This window comes from Homo sapiens, chromosome 6 (assembly GCF_000001405.40).
Source record: "Homo sapiens chromosome 6, GRCh38.p14 Primary Assembly".
In the NCBI taxonomy this organism is placed as follows: domain Eukaryota; kingdom Metazoa; phylum Chordata; class Mammalia; order Primates; family Hominidae; genus Homo; species Homo sapiens.
Window position 1 is genome coordinate 36,900,817 of NC_000006.12, and position 22,479 is coordinate 36,923,295.

The following is a 22,479-nucleotide window of genomic DNA, read 5'->3' on the forward strand; positions in this document are numbered from 1 at the left end:
TGTGAGCCACTGCAGCCAGCCTTTATGTATGTATTTATTTATTTTTTGAGACAGAGTTTCACTCTTGTTGCCCAGGCTGGAGTGCAATGGTGTGATCTTGGCTCAGTGCAACCTCCGCCTCCCAGGTTCAAGCAATTCTCCTGCCTCAGCCTCCCAAGTAGCTGGGATTACAGGCATGCGCAACCATGCCCGGCTAATTTTGTATTTTTAGTAGAGATGGGAGTTTCACTATGTTGGTCAGCTGGTCTCGAACTCCTGACCTCAGGTGATCCACTCACCTCAGCCTCCCAAAGTGCTGGGATTACAGGCATGAGCCACTGTGCCTGGCCTAATACTTGTATTTTTGGTAGAGGTGGGGTTTCACCATGTTGGCCAAGCTGGTCTCGAACTCTTGACCTAAGGTGATACACCCGCCTTGGCCTCCCAAAGTGCTGGAATTACAGGTGTGAGCCACTGCGCCCGGCCCCTTTGTGTATTATTATTATTATTATTATTATTATTATTATTTTTTTTTTTTTTTTTTTTTTTTTTTTTTTGAGATGCAGTCTCACTCTGTTGCCCAGGCTAGAGTGCAGTGGTGCGATCTTGGCTCACTGCAAGCTCCATCTCCCAGGTTCACACCATTCTCCTGCCTCAGCCTCCTGAGTAGCTGAGACTACAGGCGCCCATCACCACATCCGGCTAATTTTTTGTATTTTTAGTAGAGACAGGGTTTCGCCGTGTTGGCCAGGATGGTCTCGATCTCCTGACCTCGTGATCCACCTGCCTCGGCCTCCCAAAGTGCTGGGATTACAGGCGTGAGCCACTGCGCCCGGCCCCCTTTGTGTATTATTATTATTATTTTTATTTATTTATTTTTATTTTTTTTTTGAGACGGAGTCTCTCGCTCTGTCGCCCAGGCTGGAGTGCAGTGGCGCGATCTCGGCTCACTGCAAGCTCCGCCTCCCGGGTTCCCGCCATTCTCCGGCCTCAGCCTCCCAAGTAGCTGGGACTACAGGCGCCCACCATCATGCCTGGCTAATTTTTTTGTATTTTTAGTAGAGACGGGGTTTCACCGTGTTAGCCAGGATGGTCTCGATCTCCTGACCTCATGATCTGCCCGCCTCGGCCTCCCAAAGTGCTGGGATTACAGGCGAGAGCCACCATGCCCAGCCTGTGTATTTTTAAATGGTGAATTTTAAAATACACTGATTATATGGTAGCAGCTTGGTGAGCCTTGCAGTCCCTATAGTTCTCAAATTCTAAATTCTTCCAGAAGTAAACCTAAGTGGCTTGTTTATGAAAATGGATTAGTTCTTAAGGCACATTGGAAGTAGCAGAAGAAGCCTGTTTTGTTTTGTTTTTTTTCTTGGTATTAAGGTATTTGTTTGCTGGGATTAATGCCTTTTCTATCTTTCCTTGTAGGTTCTCGCAACCTTGGGATTAATCTTGCTCACTGCCTACTTTGTGATTCAACCTTTCAGCCCATTAGCACCTGAGCCAGTGCTTTCTGGAGCTCACACCTGGCGCTCACTCATCCATCACATTAGGCTGATGTCCTTGCCCATTGCCAAGAAGTACATGTCAGAAAATAAGGGAGTTCCTCTGCATGGGGGTGATGAAGACAGACCCTTTCCAGGTAAAATGCAACATTTATTACTTATTAGATATAGTTTTCTTGACAGTATATGATAGGAAAGGAAGTAACATTTATTGATACCTAATGAGAGGCAAGCTCCCTATATTGTATCTTTTAATTCAGTCCCCACTAAAACTCTATGAGATGGGGTTTATTATCCCCGTTTCACAGATTAAGAAACCAAGGGTCAGAGAGATTAAGAAACTCGCTAGAGGAACATCTGGTAGAGCCAAATACACACCCCCAAATTCCAGAACACACATGATGGGGACAAATGTCTTTGCCCATAAAAAGGATTTGATTGTATCTCATCCTTTTCTCTCCTGTGATTCCTGTCCATAATGCATATTTAATACATAGGTATTGGTTTATTGAAAGCAACCGAGTTCAGCTTGCTTCTAAAGGTCCTCTAACAGTCCTTGGCCTATTGGGCTAGGTTTTTGTCTGGGTATATCCCACTCTTTCAGTTTAGTCCTTCTGTCTGTCACAGCTCATTTAATTTAGTCCTCTAAAGTATATCAATTTTGCCAGTAAGTAGAAATTAAAAAACACATAAATTTAGTAACAGTGCATCGGTGGCATAAGAATTCATAGTCTGATAGACTATTTGAGGGGTTTCCTTTTGAGAACAGTGTTAACATGTAATAAGAGTTGAAATTTACTTTTTCAGGCTGGGTGTGGTGGTTTACAACTATAATCCTAGCAATTTGGGAAGCTGAGGCAAAAGGATTGGTTGAGCCCAGGAGTTCAAGACCAGCCTGGGCAACATAGCGAGACCCTGCCTCCAATTTTGTGTGTGTGTGTGTGTGTGTAAAGAAATTTACTTTTTGAGAAAGGGGGATATTATTTTGGGATTTTTTTGGTGATGTTTATCTTATTTGGCAATGTAGAATAATATGTGTATTAATATCACAAATGGATTATAGAATTTATTGTGTAACCATGATCCGAAACTTTTAGAATGTGTCTTAAATTTTAGGAAAAATGCTTTCAGAAAAAATGTATTTAAGCTTTATAATCATAATGTCATTCTCTTTTTTTTTGAGTTGGAGTCTCGCTCTGTCGCCCAGGCTGGAGTGCAGTGGTGCGATCTTGGCTCACTGCAAGCTCTGCCTCCTGGGTTCACGCCATTCTCCTGCCTCAGCCTCCTGAGTAGCTGGGACTATAGGTGCCCGCCACCACGCCCGGCTAATTTTTTGTATTTCTAGTAGAGACAGGGTTTCACCGTGTTAGCCAGGATGGTCTCATAATGTCATTCTTTAAGATCTAATGAGTCATAAAAATCATCCCTTGGATTGGGTCTCCATCGAAAGCTATTTTTGTATACTTGAGGAAGTCATGGAAAGGTTTCCAAAATTGTATCAAAATCAGAGGAAGGGAACATTGTAAGACAAGAATTCCACCTCAGGAGTTTTTGTTTTTTTTTAAAAAATCAACAGCTCAGATATTTCATTTGAAAATTTCAGATGTAACTTCCTTGTATTTATTGGGAAGGTTGCTTTTGAAATGTCACCAACAGAGCTAAAAAAAAAAAAATGCAGTCTCAAACTCCTATTAGAACGGTTCAAAGTGTTTGGAGGAAACAGCGAGAGAAACTTGTCAGTTAGGCCAGTCTGTGCCTCTTCCTCAGACACACCAGTCTCCTTTCCTGACTGTCTTCCCCTCAAAGCCTCCCTAACGGCAACTCCTGATGAGTTTTCCTGACCTGGTTGATGGCATTATCTTCTTCCCCAGTCCTATAAAGTAAATCTCCATACACGGTTGAACTGAGAAATGGGGCATCGTCAATGAACACTGCTCGCTTCTTCTCTAAATCATAGTTTAAACATTCCAGAAACATTAGTGTCTTGTAAACAAGCTGGATTATTTGGACTACTTCAAATCAATATTTTGCCTTGCAGATGGAAATAAAATGAGTCCTTGGAGCTCAGTTGTAGAGAGAGCGAGTGAGCATTGGAAGGGTGTGGCTTTAGCTCTTTAATGTTGTTGATTCTATTAAAGTGCTGTTTTTACTTGTAAATGTGGATGTGGAAGCACCATATTTTCCTATGTATGATAATTCTGGGAAGCTGTAGACATGTGAAACTAACAGCATTTTGCGTAGCATTTGGAAGAAAAGTTAAAAACACGTAATTATATGAAGAGTAAACAGAAACACATGAGGGAGAATTAAGTGCAACTTAATCTGGGCCTGTAAGAGGGCAGGAAAAGTAAAAATATATCATTTTTTAATGTCCTGGTATCAAAAAACAACTACCTTCAGGTTAGGATTAGTTGGCCATACATTTAAAGTAAATGCAAGGGGAGAATGGTGTGACAGATTCCCGAAAGGAAACCCCATATGGTTTCCTGAAGTGCTGGCCTGTCTCACACTCCCAGGGTCATCTGGTGCTCCTTGCAGTGGCACCTCGGGAATGATGGAGGGCAGCTGCAGCCTTGGTGATGTACAAGAGGCACCACCACCAATGACTGGAAGTTTCCCCTGACCCCACCCAGGGAACAAAAAGGTGACAGAGGTGGGGTTCTTTTTCTAGATTTCAGCCTTAGATAGGAAATCCTGCCCCTAAATGCTCTCAATAAGAAGAATGAAGTGACTTTGCAGCGAGTCATGGAAACATCCCGCTCTGCAGCAAAAAATAAGTAAATAAACTGACAGTTGTTTATTACTTACCAGATGCCAGACCCTGTTCAGGGGGCTTTCCATATATCGGCTTATTTAATCTTGACAACATCCCTATAGGGTAGCTTCAGGTTTTATGCCCATTTTACAGATGAGGACACTGAGGCACAGTATGGTTAGGTCACTTGCTCAAGGTCCCAGGTCTGGTCACGGAGCCATGATTTGAACCCAGGCAGCCAGTCTTCAGAGTCTGAGCCCTTCGCCTCTGATGTGAGTAGTCTGTAGCTGTGCAGTAGACCTGAAGAGTCTAGCTTTAAGTCTGATGTTGGAGTTCTACCACTGTCTCTCTCGGATCATCAGTTACTTTCTCTTAACTCCCTAGTCCCTGAAGAGACAATATTCTTTCTGGCTGTTCCAAAGATAAGTGGTCTTCCAAGCTTCTGACCCTTTAGAATTTTCCCGACCTGGTGTTGTCTTAGACATTCAGCCCAGTTCATCCTCCCTAGTCTGCACCCTGACATTCAGCCCAGTTCATCCTCCCTAGTCTGCACCCTTATGGATAATATTTGACTGACTTAATCCTTCCTCTTACTGACCCAGAGTTTTCTCTTTACATTCACATTCTTACTGCTTTTCTCCCCTCCTGGCTTCATATCTTTATAGTCACTTTACTCCTGCCGGCCATCCCCTTGGTTTTTACCATTTCCATGGAATCATTGAGTCTTAAAGCCAGAAAAGAATTTTAGAGTTAATCTAGTACATACCCCATTTTATAAAAGAGGTAACTGAGGCCAGGAGAGGTAAAGGAGCTTGCTTACCCAGCTAAAAGTGGCAAAATCACACTTGAACCCTAGTTTCTTAACTCCCTCTAGCATTCTGTCCAAGATATCACACTTACAGCCTGCCATCTCTGCCCTCAGTCAAGCCAGGCGCTAGCATGTTCAGCCAATTATTTTTTTTACTTTGGTCATTTTCTGGCCAACTTAAAAATAACATATTCATTTCTACTGAGGAAGCCTGGGATAGTTCTCACATACAGTGAAAAGGCACACATTTGGAACTCGATGCATCCCGTAACCTTCAAAGGAAGGATGAAGTAGATCCAGCAACATCAAGAAGTTTTGGAAATAGCAAATCATTTATTGGCCTCAAACTAAGAATCTAGTAAGACTTAGAGAGTCCAGATCTGTGCTCAAAGATGAACTGCTTAGACCGCAAGGAAAACCTTCCTCTTTTATTTGCAAAATAAGCTTACCTTCTGTGATAATAACAGCTCTGTCAAGCACTTACTGTATACCAGGTACTGTGCCGTGCAGTTTATTTCTCAGTCTTCACAGCAGTCACATAAGGTAGATACTGTTTTTATGTTCATTTCAAAGATGAGGAAACTGATGTGCAAGGGGATTGACTGACTTATCTGAAGTCTCACATTTATTTATTTTTAATTTTTTCTTTTGCTGTGTTTTTGATAATAAATTTTCACATTTAGAAACAAATTTTTGTACAAGTGAGAACTCATGAAAATAGACTTTCTCTGTGGTTTGGAGTGGTTCAAATGCATTGCTTCCTGGAGGCAAGGCTGTTGGTGAAATGATTTCTTGGGCTCTTTCCCTCTACGGTGTGTGAAAATGGCTCTGGGCATGGTGCCACACATGCAGGGACCTGGCAGAAGCCTCCTTCATTGTCAAGGCTTCACCCCTGCCTCATGCCCGGGGTACTAGAAGAGGTGCTATGCACAAACAAGCTTCTGGAGAGCAGCCTGATTAAATATTGAGCACACACTAGTGAAAGTCATGGGAACTTTGTCATGGGCTTTGCAGGGTTTTCTTGGCTATATTTATAATGCAAGAAATGATGAAGTTATATTTATTTAATCTTTATTTTGAGGTTTCTGTGAATCCAGATTGCTCATTTGATTTTTCTCCCCATGGACTTAATTCTATTGTTAAAGCTTCTGAAAAATCAGCCTTCCTGCCTGCCTTCCTGCCTTCCTCCCTCCTTCTTTTCCTCCTTCCATCCCTTCCTCCCTCTCCCCAACTTCATTCACTCATTCAGTAAATGTTTATTGAGACCCTGCTATATATGCCAGGCACTGTTCTCAACAAAGCAGTGAACAAAACAGACAAAACCACTGCTCTTGTAGAGCTAGTATTGGCTTTGTTCTTTTCTTTCTTCCCTATCCTTTTTATCCAGAGGGAGTTTTTTGTCCTGGAAAGAAATCTTTTGTTTTGTTTTGTTTTGTTTTGTTTTGTTTTGTTTTTGCCAGGTAAATAATCTATGTAACAGTACTCTCCCCACTCAGAATTCCAGGATATGTTATGGTTGTCTACAGAGAACCAGCCTAAGTGAGTTTTCTTGTAAATAACTCTCAGGCACCAGGAAGCTCCCTGATGGGTGAGACGCTGGCCCATCCATTTTTCTGCCCAGTGCCCAACTTGTAAAGAAGGGTGGATAGTTATGGTCTCTGCACGTTGACTTCAAGGCTGTGTTTTGTCTGAGAGACTGTTTTTGACATCTCCAACAGTGAAATCATTCCAAATCATAGTGAAAACTTGAAATACAAGTTATAAGCTTTATTGAACTTTTATATGTAGGATTTCTCTTCTCTGTCATACCTTTAAAAAATGTTTAAAATATCTGGTATGAGGGATATCTGGAGTAAAGAAGCCTTAGAAATTAAAAGTAGGAAGTTGCTATATAATTTACGCTGACTTTTCTGTCTGGTGCTTCAGGAAAAGTGGTTAGAAACAGGAGGGCTGGAAAGAAGTGAGATGCAGCATATTAGGTAGTCAAAAGCCGTAAACTAGGGTGGCATGGGCTCGGCTGGCTGTGTGCTGTTGGCTGTTTCCCAGGATGGAATTTTGTTCACTTTGTGGCATGATGGCTCCAGCCAGTTGTATAGAGAACACGTCAGACAAAACCTTTTCAGATGGACAGAGGCCAAGCTGGAGTCTGGCCACATCTCTTTCTGTTGTCAGGGACTCTGTGGGGAGAGGAAGAGGAGCCTGCACCCTACCTCCACCCCTAGTTCACCGTTTGCCCGTTCCTCTCTCTAAGCTTATGCTTTATCCACCTTGGTGATCTCAGGCTACAGAGAAATCAAAAGTAGTTCTTTCTTTTAAAGTTTGGGCTCCCTTAGTTCAGGTGGATGGCATAGGCTACCCCATTCCAGTGATCCTTTTTTCTTGTTACTTCCCTTCCTTCTTTGCGGGCCACCAGCCTGGCCACCTCTGCTCCTGTCAGATACCTCTCTGGGGCCAGCCTTCTGAGATGATTTACCTCTACACTTCAGCATTGAATTCTCAGCTTCAGTTTTCATGATCTCCAAGGACATTTTGACTTGGAAAGTACATAAAATACATGCATACAAAGACAGTAAGAGGTGTAATATTTTGATATTTAAAAATACTTATAATAAAGTAATATTTCTCATCTCTATCCTTTTAACTTTTCTACTCAAGCAACTGCTAATAATAACTTGGTATACATCCTTCTGAGTTTTTCCATGTCTATACAAATAGATATACTTAATATATATAAATAGAAATACTTTTTTGTTCACACACATACAAAAGATCTCATATACATATTTTTGGCTAGACACATTGTATTAGTTTCTAAGGCTGCTGAAACAAAGCATCACAGGCCGAGCAGCTTAAAACAACAGAAATCCAGTACCTCACAGTTGTGGAGTCTAGAAGTCAGAAATCCAGGTTGATAGGGCCACGTCCCCTCTCAAAGGCTCTAGGGAAGAATCCTTCCTGGCCTCTTCCAGTTTCTGGTGGTTTTCAGCAGTCCTTGGCATTCCTTGGCTGTGTCAGCATAACTTCAGCCTCTGCCTTTATCTTCACGTGGCCATCTGCTTTCTATGTGTGTCTTTGTGTCTTCTGTCTTCTTCTAAGGACATCATTCAGATTGGATTCAGGGCTCATCCTACTTCAGTATGACCTCATCTTAAATGACTACATCTGTGGCCACCCTATCTCCAAGGTCATGTTCTGAGGTTCCAGGAAAATGTGGATTTTGGGAAAACATAATTAAACCCTCTCTATATATTTTTGAGGATTTTATATTAGTTGATTCTGTGACTCTTCTATAATTTAACCATTTTCTAGGGTTGTTGTGGGTTTTTTTTTTTTTTGCTATTACAAAAATATGTACCTGAGAGATTCATATACACATATCTTTATATAGATATACTTTTTTTCTGTAAGATATATTCTTGGAAATGGACTCGCTGAGTCAAAGGGCATGTGCATTTTAAATTTTAATAAATGCAACCAAATTGTCTTCATAAACTTATACCAGCTTATACTTTCATTAACAGCATATGTTGATCATTGACACTGGATGTTGTCAATGTTTTGCCAGTTAGAAAACTAAATAATAGTATCTCATTTCAAGTTGCATTTCATTGATTATTAGTCAAATTGCATGTCTTTTCAAATGGTTTATAGGCCATTTATATTTATAATACTTTTCTGTGAATTCCTTGTTCATATTTTTTCCCCATTAAAAATTTTTTTATCTACCCTGGGCAACATGGAGAAACCCTAGCTCTACAAAAAATACAAAAAATTAGCCATATATGGTGGTGCACACCTGTAGTCCCAGCTACTCTGGCAGCTGAGGTGGGAGGATCACCTGAGCCCGGGGAGGTCAAGGCCACAGTGAGCCGTGATTGTACCACTGCACTTCAGCCTGGGTGACAGAATGAGAGCCTGTCTCAAAAAAAAAAAAAAAAAAGTTTTTTGTTAATTCAAACAGAGGCTTATATATTAGAAATACTGATTATTTGTCTCGTATATGCAAATATTGGTCAAATCTGTCCATTTTTCCTTTATAGCCTCTAGGAAGCCTTCCTTGTCCCAAAGATTATAAAAATACTCATTTCTCAGTCCTCACAACAGTCACTTAGGGTAGATACTGTTTTTATATCCATTTCAAAGATGAGGAAACTGATGTGCCAAGGGATTGACTAATTTATCTAAAGTCTCACATTTACAGACACATTTTTATACAGGTGAGAACTCATGAATATATGTGAACTCTCTATGGTTTGGAGTAGTTCCTCTAGCTTTTTTTTTTTTGAGACAGGATCTCACTGTGTTCCCAGGCTAGCCTTGAACTCCTGGGTTCAAGAGATTATCCTGCCTCAGCCTCCTGAGTAGCTGGGACTAAAGTGCCACCATGCCCAGCTCCTTTAGTTATTTTTAAAATTTTATGTTATCTATTTGTATCTTTTAATCAATCTAGAATTTAATTTAGTATATGGTGAAAGGGTAGGAATCTAACTTTATTTTCTTCCATATAGATGGTCACTTGTCCCAATTTGATTTATTGAATCTACCCTTTCCTCACTTAATTAAAAATCTATGTTTATCCTTTATTGGCCAGGCATGGTGGCTGACACCTATAATTCCAGCACTTTGGGAGGCCAAGGCGGGTGGATTGCTTGAGCTCTGGAGTTCAAGACCAGCCTGAGCAACATGATGAAACCCTGTCTCTTCCAAAAATACAAAAATTAGCTGGGTGTGATGGCACACACTGGTAGTCCCAGCTACTTGGGAGGCTGAGGTGGGAGGATGACTTGAGCCTGGAAGGTCAAGGCGACAGTGAGCTGAGATGTGCCACTGTACTCCAGCCTGGGCGACAGAGCAAGACCCTGTCTCTAAAAAAAAAAAAAAGGCTGGTCTCAAACTCCTGGGCTCAAGCGATCCCACCTCAGCCTCCCAAAGTGTTGGGATTACAAGCATCAGCCACCACCCATAAATGTTTTATCTTGTTAAATTTATTGCTAGTTATTATGAATGAGATTATTTTCCATTTCAGTTTTTAACTGATTGTGGCCAGTAGAGTAAGAAAGCTATTGATTTTTATGTATCTGAAAATCTGTATCTTGTATTCTGTCACCTTATTAAATTCTCTTTTTAGTACTAACAGTTTTTTACTTGTGTTCGCCTCTAACTTTCAGTTCCCTCAAGGAACACCACCTCCAAGTTTTTCTTTTAGTTTGCTATTCCTACTTTCTTTTTCTTTCTTGATTTCCCTTTACTGGGTTTTCTTCTACCTGCTTTTTAAAGGGATCTCCACCTGGAAATCCCAAGAATATCTAAAGCTCTGAATAAAATTAAAATTAAATAAGTTAGGCTGGGCTGGGCGCAGTGGCTCACGCCTGTAATCCCAGCACTTTGCAAGGCTGAGGTTGGCGGATCATCTGAGATCAGGAGTTTGAGACCAGCCTGGCCAACATGGTGAAACCCTGTCTCTACTAAAAATACAAAAATGAGCCAGGCTTCGTGGCGGGCACCTGTAATCCCAGCTATTCAGGAGGCTGAGGCAGGAGAATCGCTTGACCCCAGGAGGCGGAGGTTGCAGTGAGCCGAGATCGCGCCACTGCACTCCAGCCTGGGCGACAGAGCTAGACTCCATCTCCAAAAAAAATAATAATAATAATAATTAAATAAATTATAGTTAAAATAATTCTCCTAACTCTTAGGTTAAGAGCTGCTCGGTGCTAGCCCATGCAGCACCTTTATACAAATTCGAGGAAGGTGCCCCTTTCTCCTGGTGCTTTACTCTCATCTCCTGGGAAGACTGTCATAATTAACTGATTCTGTTGGAATATGACACGCTACTACAGAAAAGTGTCATAATAAATCTGCAGATGACGTTCCCTAGATGAGCACTAATGACATAGGTGATACCAGAGATCTGCAGGTTTATTATGACACTGACCAAGAGGACAGTATAGTGCAAACATTCACAGTAGTGCTCCTTGGGGCTGTAGATTTCATCTTCACTGCTTCTAGAATCCACCCCTTTTTTCCATTCCCACTGCCTCATTCATTATATTTCACTTCTCATCACAGTGAACCCCCCCCCCCCGACCTTTTCCCTAAAAAAGGGCAAAACCAAAATATAACCAGATCTTCCTTTTCCCAGCCTCTCTCTTCTAGGGCACCCTAATCACAATCCAGAATAATCTTCCTAGAACATCGAGAAATTCCTGCTCAAAAGCCTCCAACAGTTCCTCTTTTTGTTCTGAGTAGAGCCAGACATGCTTCAAGCCCTGGAAGCCCTCACCACATCTTCCTCTGCAGCCTGTTTCCTTACCCAAACCCCCACTGCACGCCCAGCATCTGCTGTGTTCTTCCTGCCACACTCTGGCACCTCAGGAACTTCCTATCACCTCTAACTTTCAGTTTGTTCATCCACAGAATGAGAATAGTGATTCCTCCTCAGTAATTACACAGTGAAAATTAAATGCTATAACATGGGAAAGTGACTAACATAGGGCAAGCACTCAGTGCATTAGCTTGCTTTCTCCTTCCCCTTCCATCGCAAGTACTTTGGAAACCGAAATGCTATATAATTGTAACATGTTGTTATGATTATGCCCCATGGTGTGTCCATTACCCAGAGCTTTTGCATATTGGCAAGAATTTATCATATTTGACACTGAATAAGAAGCATTTGAAAATATTGGAGAAGAAAAAATGCAACTTTGCAGCCTCAGTGTGCCACTGAAACAGGTGGTACTAAAGGGTTTTCAGCTACCCCCAGAGTACTGTGGGAGGAGAGGCGCCCTCCCAGGAGCAGGGTGTAGCGGTAATCCTCTGACTAATAATCTTCCTGCGAGTTGAGACTGGCTGAGAAAGGTAGGTGGCAGTTGCCTCCAGGAAACACAGATACTATCTTCAAGAGATGGAGGATGCTCAGCAGACCGGCCAAGAACAAACACGGTCTTTCCCTGACGAGGATTTCCTATGCCCCACTACTACTGCCTCAGAGAAAACAAGCATGTAGTGCTTACTGCCAACCACAGAAAATGTTTTGTGGTTAAGAGTCAGTTTCCAAGTATGTTTATTGGTTTAAAAAATTGACTTCGTTTCAGCCACATTTGGTTGTCTGTTATCATTTGTCGTAGGCTCTCTCCTGATTTGGTTTCCATTGGGTTTTAATCAGAACCGTCTTCTGAAACGTTTTAGATTCAAAGCAGAGTTTAAAACAAACACATCTCTCAGAGAACCTAGACGAAATCCAAAATGGAACAGAAAGTAAACAAGAAATAATGAAATAACATTATAAACAGCATGGTAACAGAGGGAAGCTGGGAAAGGCTGTGCAGAAACAAGAGCCCCTCAGAGAAGGAGCCAAACCAGACAGGCATGTCAGGGAGCCGCTGTCACACAGCAGGGTCTGGGTTGGGGGTCTTCCATTTCTGACCAGCATGTGGGGCTGGAAACTATGGCTGGCGGCCCCACCCCCTCCTGAGCTGGGATAGAGGGCTGTCTTATGGACAGATGCAATTCACTTTATTCCAAAGATGGCTCCAGAAAAGTCCTGTCTACCCTCTCCATCCCTTTCCTCTTCTGTGTCCTTTTCTCACTCTTCCTTCCCGGAGTCCTGGCTCCCATGTGTACTTGTGAAGCAAGGGTCTATGCACACATCCAGCATGTGTGAGAAGTGCATTAGGGCACAGCGATAATAGGGGTCACCCTTCTATCCACACCAGCCCCCCTGTGCTGTAGACGTTTCAGCCATATGGGTCATAGGTTAGAAAATGTTGGGGGAACTACATCTTTAGCTCCACATTGCTGAATGTTTTTCCTAGCTGTTATGCTTTATTTGTTGATTTGATTTAGGAAATGCATGACAGGTTAAAAGATATTTTCCACAAAGTGTAAAAAGGTATACAGAGAAGAGTACCTCTCCTTCCTGCTCCTGTCCTCTACTCCCTCCTCAGAGGCTGCTTCATATATACCTTACCTTTTCAGCGGTCTCCAGTGCTTATCATTGTTTGTTTTTAAAAATTATTATGGGCTGGATGCGGTGGCTTGCGCCTGTAATCCCAGCATTTTGGGAGGCCAAGGTGGGCAGATCATGTGAGCCCAGGAATTCAAGACCAGCCTGGGCAACATGGCAAGACCCCGTTTCAACTAAAAATACAAAAATTAGCCATGTGTGGTGGCATGCGCCTGTAGTTCCAGCTCCTCGGAAGGCTGTAGCAGGAGAATCCCTTGAACCCAGGAGGCAGGGGTTACAGTGAGCTGGACGGCACCACTGCACTCCAGCCTGGGCGACAGAGTGAGACTCTGTCTCAAAATAAATAAATAAATAAAAGTCATTATGATGTCTTTCCTTTCTTGTTTCATTGTTGGAGCTACTGGATGTACCAGCTATGCTCTTTCAGTATCTGTTTTCTCCATATCCCTTCCTCTCTCAGACTTTGACCCCTGGTGGACAAACGACTGTGAGCAGAATGAGTCAGAGCCCATTCCTGCCAACTGCACTGGCTGTGCCCAGAAACACCTGAAGGTGATGCTCCTGGAAGACGCCCCAAGGAAATTTGAGAGGCTCCATCCACTGGTGATCAAGGTGAGCAGAAGCCTGAGTCTCCCGCTGATTGGCTGCTTGCTTAAAGGCTAGGTCAAGCTCTAGGAAATTTCTGACAAGTAACTCTGTGTTGTTTTGTTTTGTTTCCTGCCTTGCCAAGACGGGAAAGCCCCTGTTGGAGGAAGAGATTCAGCATTTTTTGTGCCAGTACCCTGAGGCGACAGAAGGCTTCTCTGAAGGGTTTTTCGCCAAGTGGTGGCGCTGCTTTCCTGAGCGGTGGTTCCCATTTCCTTATCCATGGTGAGTGTGAAAAGGGCCGGGCACAGTGGCTCATGCCTGTGATCCCAGCACTTTGGGAGGCCGAGGCAGGCAGATCACTTGAGCCTAGGAGTTGCAGACCAGCCTGGCCAACATGGCAAAACCCCATCTCTACTAAAAATACAAAAATTAGCCAGGTATGGTGGTGCATGCCTGTAATCCCAGCTACTCTGGAGGCTGAGGCATGAGAATCACTTGAACCTGGGAGGTGGAGGTTGCCATGAGCTGAGATCGCGCCATTGCCCTCCAGCTTGGGTGACAGAGTGAGACTGTGTCTCAAAAAAATGGGGGGGCTATGGGGGCACTTAGCGTGCGAGTAGGAAAGGGGCAGACCAGAAATACCTGCAAAACAGTAATAGCTATCACTGAGCCACTACCACAGGCCCAACACTTTACAAATCCAATGCTGGGATCCCACTGATAAACCAGTGATGAGAGATAAAAGGGATGGATGAAGAGGTGTGTCAGAAGGAGGGGTGCCACCATGGGGGGGACAGCAAGTTTGTCTAATAGAGTCATAATTTATTTCGAAGTATGCATTTAGCATTTTATGTAGAATGGGGCCTCATGCAGGGGGCTGAAGAGAGAGTGCAAATAATAGAAGGAGAATTGCATTTTTTGGCACTTGTTTCTGCCAGGCAGTGTGGCTTGGTGCTTAGTGTCTGTGTCTCACTGGGGACACTGATAATAACTCTGGAAAGTAGGAATGATTGTTGTCATTCTTCAGATCAGACAAGTGGGGATCAGTAGCTAGGCGTGGTGGCTCATGCCTATAATCCCAACACTTTGGGAGTCTGAGGCGGGTTGATCACTTGGGCCCGGGAGTTGGAGACCAGCCCAGGCAACATAGGGAGACCCCATCTCTACAAAAAATATCCAAGCTACTTGGGAGGCTGAGGTGGGAGGATGGCTTGAGCCTGGGAGGTTGAAGCTGCAGTAAGCCATGATCATACCACTGCACTCCAGCCTGGGCGACAAAGTGAGACCCTGTTTCAAAAAAAAAAAAGGTTGGGGGAGGGGGAAAGAAAGAAAGAAAAATGGGAAACAGAGAGATTAAGTAACTTGCCTAAGGTTACCCAGCCAGGATCGAAACCCCAGTTTGTCCTGCTGTTCCTTCCTGTGCCCTGCGGAAGACATGGTTCATTCCTTGTGGTTAAGGTTGCTGTCTAGTAAGAAAAGAAAGCCAGTTTCCATCTTAGAACTGTTTCGAAAGAATTAAAATGACTTTTTCAGGCTTTTTGTTAATTTCTTAATGCTTCTATCTTTCTTTAAATGTGCTGTTTGTTTGCGTGCTAGAGTGCCCAGTTGAACAAGCTGAGCAGGCTTCCCCCTGCGTCTCCCTGTGCCTCAGAAGAAGGGTCATGCTTTTTGTCCCTTCCTCCTTCTCTCTTCTCCCCTTCCCCCGCCTGGCCTGCTGTTACTTCAGTCTTTTCCAAGATAGAATGAATAGATTATTTCTTTCCTTCCAATATATATTGTTTTAGCTGCAATTTAGAAACACTCCACCCACATACTCAAATCATGGCTGTAGAGTTTATGCCTGTGTGTGTACACATTATAGTTCATTGACTCTGTGCAACTATTCTTCAGGGACCTAGTACTTAAGATACTGTACTCATATTTTTCCCTCTTTACCCACCGCCCACAGTTTTCCCACCCTTACTTGGCTCTCTCTTAGTCATGGGCTGGCTTGACCAGTTTAATTACTTTTTTTCTGTTTCATACTTCTACAGGAGGAGACCTCTGAACAGATCACAAATGTTACGTGAGCTTTTTCCTGTTTTCACTCACCTGCCATTTCCAAAAGATGCCTCTTTAAACAAGTGCTCCTTTCTTCACCCAGAACCTGTTGTGGGGAGTAAGGTAGGAAATTTTGAGAGGACTTGGATCTAGAATTTTCTTTATTTGGGACCTGGACTGATGTCATAACCAAGGCCTTCCCTGCATATTGGCTTAGAGGGTTACAGGGTGAATTGAGGGGACACCCACACAGTCTAGTTCTCCCCTCCTGCTGCTAGCCAGGAGACTTGCAGGGGCCCACCTTGTCATGAAGGCAGGTTTCCAGAAAATCTAGTTACCTTGCAAATCTGCCTCCTGCCCTTAACACCTGAGGCAAACTACTTTTCTATATTAAAAGAAGTGAAATCTTAAAATTTGAAGGACTTGAGGGTGCAATTAGTCTGGCTTTCCTACCTTAAATTAGAAAGTAGGCAAGCAGCCATGATCGGTGGTCGCTCACGCCTGTAATCCAGCACTTGGGGAGGCTGAGGCAAGAGGATTGCTTGAGCCTAGGAGTTTCAGACCAGCCTGGGCAATATAGGGAGACCCTATCTCTATTTTTTCAAAAAAAGAAAAGAAAGCTATAAGGTAATAGTATGTGGATGAATAGAATAACTGCTCCATTTTGTGGATAAGGAAACTGAGTCCCAGAGAGATTAAGTGAGTTGCCCAAGGACACACCCTTTACCCTCTCACCCCCAGGATGGTTTTTGCCAGAAATAAACAATTAAGAGATTTCAGGTAGAGAACTTGAAAGGCAAAAAGTGTGGGAGCCTGGGAAGGATTTGATAGGCAGGCAGCCCAGCTGGGGTAGAAAAGCCCACTCTGCCCCCATCATTTCCCACTTCAGTCTGGGGCCAAGTGCTCAGAGCCAAAGTTACCTCTCTGGGGCCAGTGGACTGGGAGAAGCTGTTCTGCATTTGTGTCTGTTTACTTTTCTCTGAATTGCTCCTTTTGTTGAGTCTCATTCCTAAGGAAGGTTTTTGAGCCTGGATCGGTTTGGGAGAATTAAAAGCATGCATTTTCCTTCATAAAAAAATAAATTTCCCAAACTATGGCCCCCTGCCACCTCTGGACCATGGCTTCCACCTCCTGATACTATCGCTTGGCTCCAAATTTGCTGAATTGTGTTAAAGGAATTTAAAAGCCTATAAAAACAATCATTTTGTCTAGAAGTAAGAAGTTCTGTCTGCCAGCACTGGGGTGGAGATGCTGGGCTCTTGCCTCAGATTTTAAAGAAGTTTATCCTGCTGTCGCCGGCTGGAATTCCAGGCCCTTGTATGATTTCATCTTCATAAATATAATTCTGGGACACGGCTTTATCTTTCTCTTGGTTTTACCACTTGAATACCAAAGTTAATTTCTCCAGCGTGTGCAACACCAAGGAGCCCAGCCAAAGGAGTAAATACAGAGTTACTCAAATGCTTACGAGAGTCATGCTGTGGTTCTCGAGGATGTTTTGGGAAGGGCAGTGGCCAGACAGGCAAAACTCTTGAGAACCCAGTTTCTTAGAGAATCTGTTTCCCCACCCTGGCCCAAGCTCCCCTTTCCCCGCAGCCTTGTTACCCCACCCTGTTGTCCACATCCCTGGGCCCTGGGCCCTGGGCCCTGTTAAAGTCACGTGTCTGTGGGCCCAGTGTCCAAAGGCAGCCTTGGGACAGAATTGGGGAGCTGGTTGTTAAGTGGCACTCGGGGAGAAGGTGAGGGCCTCCAAGGCCCACTTCACCCACTCCACGGTGTGGCCTAGGGCTGGCCTGTGCCACCCTCTTGTCTGTTTCTTCCCATCCTGGGAATGGATGAACATGACCCTGCCCACTTCAGGCCTGTGTGAAGAAGGGATACAGCCACTTGTTTTGGTCCTTCTGAGATTGTTTTGAGGACTACAGATGTTAAGGCTTCTGCCAATATTAGTACCAGTCAACTGAAGGCTAGCTGAAGACACCAGGCTGTCCCTGTCACCACATTAGCCGGTGAAATGGCTCTGGTGTTGCCATGAAAACATTATGGGCAAGGCCTGTGGCAGCAGCAGAGAGAACAGGGTTGGGGACAGGGGAAGATGGGGCCAAAACCCAAGACTCTGGAGGCCCTGAGTGGTGAAGAGAAAACCAAGACATGGCCCAGGGAGTCAGACTTCTGGCTCCCACTTTATATGGGCATATAAAGGGTTTCTCTGAAGGGCAAGAGATAGGAGGAAGAGATGAGAGAAGAGGCCCTAGGGGTTTTCTGTCATCATCAAGGTAAGGAGAAATGTCCCAGCAAGACCCATCTCTCTCTTTATCCCTATTCCTTGCCCTGGTCCCAGCCCCACCCCAGGGTTCACAGCTCCTTCCCTGGCACATAGCAGGTTGCATTTAATGCCTGTTGCTGGCAGTATCATGCCCTCAGAGGGGCAGTAGTTACCTGTGCAGGTGCATATGCTGATTGTCTCCTTAGTTTTCAAAATCAGAGGCCAGTCTTAGTGTCATTAGTTTTTAATCGGTAGCATGGCATATCTGCTCCCCTGGGTCTTGCCAGGCAGTGTAAACTTAAACTTGCTGCTGTACAATTCTTATCAGGGCCCTGGTAGTAAGAAATAACATTCCATGGAAGAGTGCCCAAAGGATATGCTGATTATCTATTTATCTAAAAAGTTTTCATCAAACCAGAATCTCAGAATGTTGTATACTTCAGCCACCATGTGCTGGTTTCTGCTGGAACTACCTTTGTTAAATTGCAATTAGGTATTTTTCTTTGGCTTACTTTGAAGCTGTGGCTAAAAATAGTTGCAAATTACAAAGCTCATGCAGGATCTACTCTGGGGCTCTCGTTGAGGGTATTGCCCACTAAATCACACAGTGCCTCTTTAGGAGAACCCATAGAAGAGATTTTACTCTGGTCTTAGTACCAAGAGATGCCATTCTTAGGAGAAAGTAGTTTGTTTTTGTCTTTTGGACATAATTGCAAATTTTTGTTATTGGTTCTATTTCCTCTTTGCTTATGCTAGGAAACTCAGAGCCATATGTGAAAGCATTTTTATTTACTAAACCCCCTGGTTTTATTTCGTTTTCTTTGCCTTCCTTTTCCTCCCCTCCTCATTCTTTCCTCCAGATGCATAAGATGCCTGACCTATTTATCATTGGCAGCGGTGAGGCCATGTTGCAGCTCATCCCTCCCTTCCAGTGCCGAAGACATTGTCAGTCTGTGGCCATGCCAATAGAGCCAGGGGATATCGGTATGTAGGGCCCCAGGAGGGCAGGGTCAATGGATCTTTTTAGTTTTTAACTCAAAAGCTATTTTAAGAATCACATACTGCCTTCACAAAAGTTTTATTTAGTAGAATCAAAAATAACATTCTCCTGTTAACAGGCTCAATATTTATGCTTAGAAATGAAACAACTTAATGAGAAAACATAGCAGAAAGAAATGGCTTGTACATACAACATATAGAATGCGTGTGTCTATTGATCATAGAAACTTCAAGTTAGGAAGGATTCTGGAAAATATTTAGACCAATCCCTCGTTTTATAGATGAAAAGGTTGAGACCCAGAGAGGAGAGGTGACCACCCCAAGGCCCCACTGTCAGTCGAGCAGAGCGTCAGGTCTTAAGTGCCTGCTTGAACACAGTCAAGCCAGGAGAGGGACAATCAAGGACTACAGGAATATATACCCATTTTGCAAATAAAACAATACCAAGCAGTATATAAGGGCAATGGTCACACAAGGAAATGTTACCTTCTGTGTGGCTGCCACAGCCAAGTCACAGCCTCACATTGATGACTCACCCTTGACCCTGGCTCAGTGTTTGCCCAAATGTGACTTGTCCTGTGCCTTATATCCTAATTAAAAATCTGTTCCAAAGAAACAGGTTTGAATCCACTGCTGTCAGTAGCAATCTGTTTGACAGCCGAGTTTTCTTGGAAGAAGCAAATAAATCAGCGAGTGTCACCATTGACCTCCTTGCTTTTCCTGCCTCACAAAACCTAGGCAAGACCTGGAGTCTCTGGCAGAGCCCAGACTGGTTTTCCAATTGATTTCTTTTAATTTTACCCATTCAGAAGACCCCCAAGCCCCTAGAAACCTTGCATCTCATATGAGGGTAGGAATTGGACTGCAAGCTATGCCAAGTCTTAATTTAGGTTACATAACTTTTATTTCAATTCAGAAATGAAAAATAAAAATAAGGTACAAATCAAGCATTAACTAATAATGGAGCACAGCTGGCCTGGCTCTTGGGAAACTTCCTACAAAAACGAGGATTCTTGTATGGAAATCGTTCTGAATCTTTTTCCTGTAATGGAGTGACTCTTAACACAAGAGATGACTATTGCGAAAATCTCTCTGGCATATTTAGGTTTGGAGCATGTGGTTGTGCTTGAACAAGTTTCTGTTTTATATTTTACAAATGCCTAACAATTCAGACAACTACAGAAACACCTTAGTTATCTGAATTCCAGACTTCCGGCTCCCACGAGCAACCGGAATACCAATTACAGAATTAGGGAAAAATTAAAAAAAAAAAAGTCTGGCAGTGATCAAGAAAGCTTGAGCATCAAATGCTGGTACAGATAGTCCAGATTAGCCTAACATCCGGTGCATGATACCTGCTGTGCTGTGCCTGGCTGGTTTGTTGACTAGAAAGAAAGGACCCCTATAGTTGGCAGTGTCTATAAAAGGCCAGTCACATGACAGAACACAGAGATGGATGGGGACTGAAGAGAAGAAGAAGAGGAGAGCAAGTCTGGGAGAAGAATGGGGGCAGGGAGGGGTGGGGAAGCCAGCGAGCACCTGAAGCAGTGACAGAAATAGACATGATGGCTGTCACTGCCACGGTTAACAATGAGGACAGGAAAGCAGACCCTGACCAAGAAGAATCATTCAGTGTTACAGGACAGATGGCGGTTCCTCTACCTTAGGGACCCTTAAGAATGGCACCATGACATGCAAGTTCTATGATTTTTGACAAAATGTACATTTTCCTGTGGAGATGGAGGGGAGAGGGGTTCCAGATCACCAGAAAACCTTTTGGGGGTCAGGTACAACATCTGCAGTCACTGTACAGGATAGTCATTGCCCATCATGACCAAGTCACCAAGTAAAAGTTGAATTCTACTCAGTGCTCTTCATTTAAAGATGAGCAGGGCCCATAGTACGCTAGAATAAATTTCCCATCAAGAGATTTTTTTTGTTTAAAATTTTATTTTCTTATGGTAAAAACACTTAACATGAGATCTACCCTCTCAACGAATTTTTAAGTGTACAAGACAGCATTGTTAGGGGCTGAGCAGGGTAGCTCACACCTATAATCCCAGCACTTTGGGAGGCCAAGGCAGGAGGATTGCTTGAGCCCAGGAGTTCAAGACCAGTCTGGGCAAGATGGTAGGACCTTGTATCTACCCAAAATTACAAAATTAGCCAGGCGTGGTGGCACACGCCTGTAGTTCCAGCTACTCAGGAAGCTGAGTTGGGAGGATCTCTTGAGCCCAGGAATTTGAGGCTGCAGTGAGCTATGACTGCACCGCTGCACTCCAGCCTGGGCAATGAAGCGAGACCCTGTCTCTAAAATCACTGAATTAAAAATTTTTAAAGCCATGCGCGATGGCTCACGCCTGTAATCCCAGCACTTGGGGAGGTCAAGGCGGGCAGATCACCTGAGGTCAGGAGTTCGAGACCAGCCTGGCCAAGAGATGATGAAACCCCGTCTCTACTAAAAATAGAAAAAATTAGCCAGGCATGGTGGTGTGCACCTGTAATCCCAGCTACTCGGGAGGCTGAGGCAGGAGAATTGCTTGAACCTGGGAGGTGGAGGTTGCAGTGAGCCGAGATTGCGCCATTGCACTCCAGCTTGGGCAACAAGAGTGAAACTCCGTCTCAAAAAAAAAAAGAAAGAAAAAAAGAATTTTTAAAAGTATTGTAAACTATAGGCACAATGATGTTCAGCATCACTGGGGATTATTGAAAGGTTGAAGTTTTTAGGTTTACCTTCATAGCCCACTCAAATGATAGGTCAGTGTTTCCTAAACGATTCTTCAGATTACTCATGACCCCACAGGTGGGACCAGAAGGCCTTTGAAAAGACCCTTGGCAAGTAGGGTCTCGAGTCAGTCGACTTTGGGAAATGCCTGTCTTGTTGATGCATAGTACATTATTAGTGTATCAAAGATGTTGAAAAGCCTTGGGGAAACCTAGTGTTTCTCAGGCTTACTTGGCCATGGAACCTATTTTCTTTGGAATATCTTACAGGACACTACTGTTTGCCAAACCCAATTTGGGCAATGCTGGTTTAGGTTTAGGTTAATCTGGATGTTCTGTAATGAAACCACATTATAGATAGACACAGGAAAATTGGCTAGTAGGTCTTGTGTCCCCTCGGAATCCATTCTGTCTTCTTGCTGTAAAAGCTGAGACTTGATGCCCAACAGCAGCCTCATCTAGAGCATCCTGCCTTTGTAAGCCTGCTGAATTGTGATTCACAGTTCCCTGGGTGAGGGGTGGTGATAAAGCATTTAAAGAGGACTGATAATAACTAGGAATACTTATGCTAGGAAGTGCCAGAAGACTTTCAGAGCAATTTGTCTTTAAGCCAGGTGTAGTGGCCCACACCTGTAATCTCAGCACTCTGGGAGGCTGAGGCAGGAGAATCACTTGAGCCCAGGAGTTCAAGACCAGCCTGGGCAATATAGTGAGACCCCTATCTCTTAAAAAATAAAAAAGGAAAGAAAAAGAAAAAAAAGGAAACTAAATTAAATAGAAAAAGATTTGTCTTTGACTCTGCAGTGCACCCTGAGGGCCAGCTCTGGCAGACCTGCCTTGCTCGTGCCCACAGGT

The 22,479-nt window shown here is 43.6% G+C and overlaps 1 protein-coding gene across 11 annotated transcripts in view, besides 1 other annotated feature; it reads left to right on the forward strand.

The window, feature by feature from the left end:
• Positions 1-22,479, forward strand: part of C6orf89 (chromosome 6 open reading frame 89) — a 57,121-nt gene that overhangs the window by 28,973 nt on the left and 5,669 nt on the right. For 9 of the 11 annotated variants that reach the window (XM_047418339.1, XM_047418337.1, XM_047418342.1 and 6 more), the window contains 5 exons: positions 1,405-1,618; positions 13,468-13,619; positions 13,738-13,877; positions 15,629-15,758; positions 18,762-18,885. In XM_047418339.1, the coding sequence (XP_047274295.1) occupies positions 1,405-1,618; positions 13,468-13,619; positions 13,738-13,877; positions 15,629-15,758; positions 18,762-18,885 (760 nt within the window). The remainder of the gene's footprint in view (positions 1-1,404; positions 1,619-13,467; positions 13,620-13,737; positions 13,878-15,628; positions 15,759-18,761; positions 18,886-22,479) is intronic. The other 2 variants (NM_001286636.2, NM_001286637.2) reach the window with 1 other exon arrangement.
• Positions 7,977-8,271: a silencer, noted in NCBI's record as "tiled region #12138; K562 Repressive DNase matched - State 5:Enh". NCBI's record gives its function as "represses a minimal TATA promoter and a strong SV40 promoter by Sharpr-MPRA in K562 cells {active_cell/tissue: K562}" and the evidence as "EXISTENCE:reporter gene assay evidence [ECO:0000049][PMID:27701403]".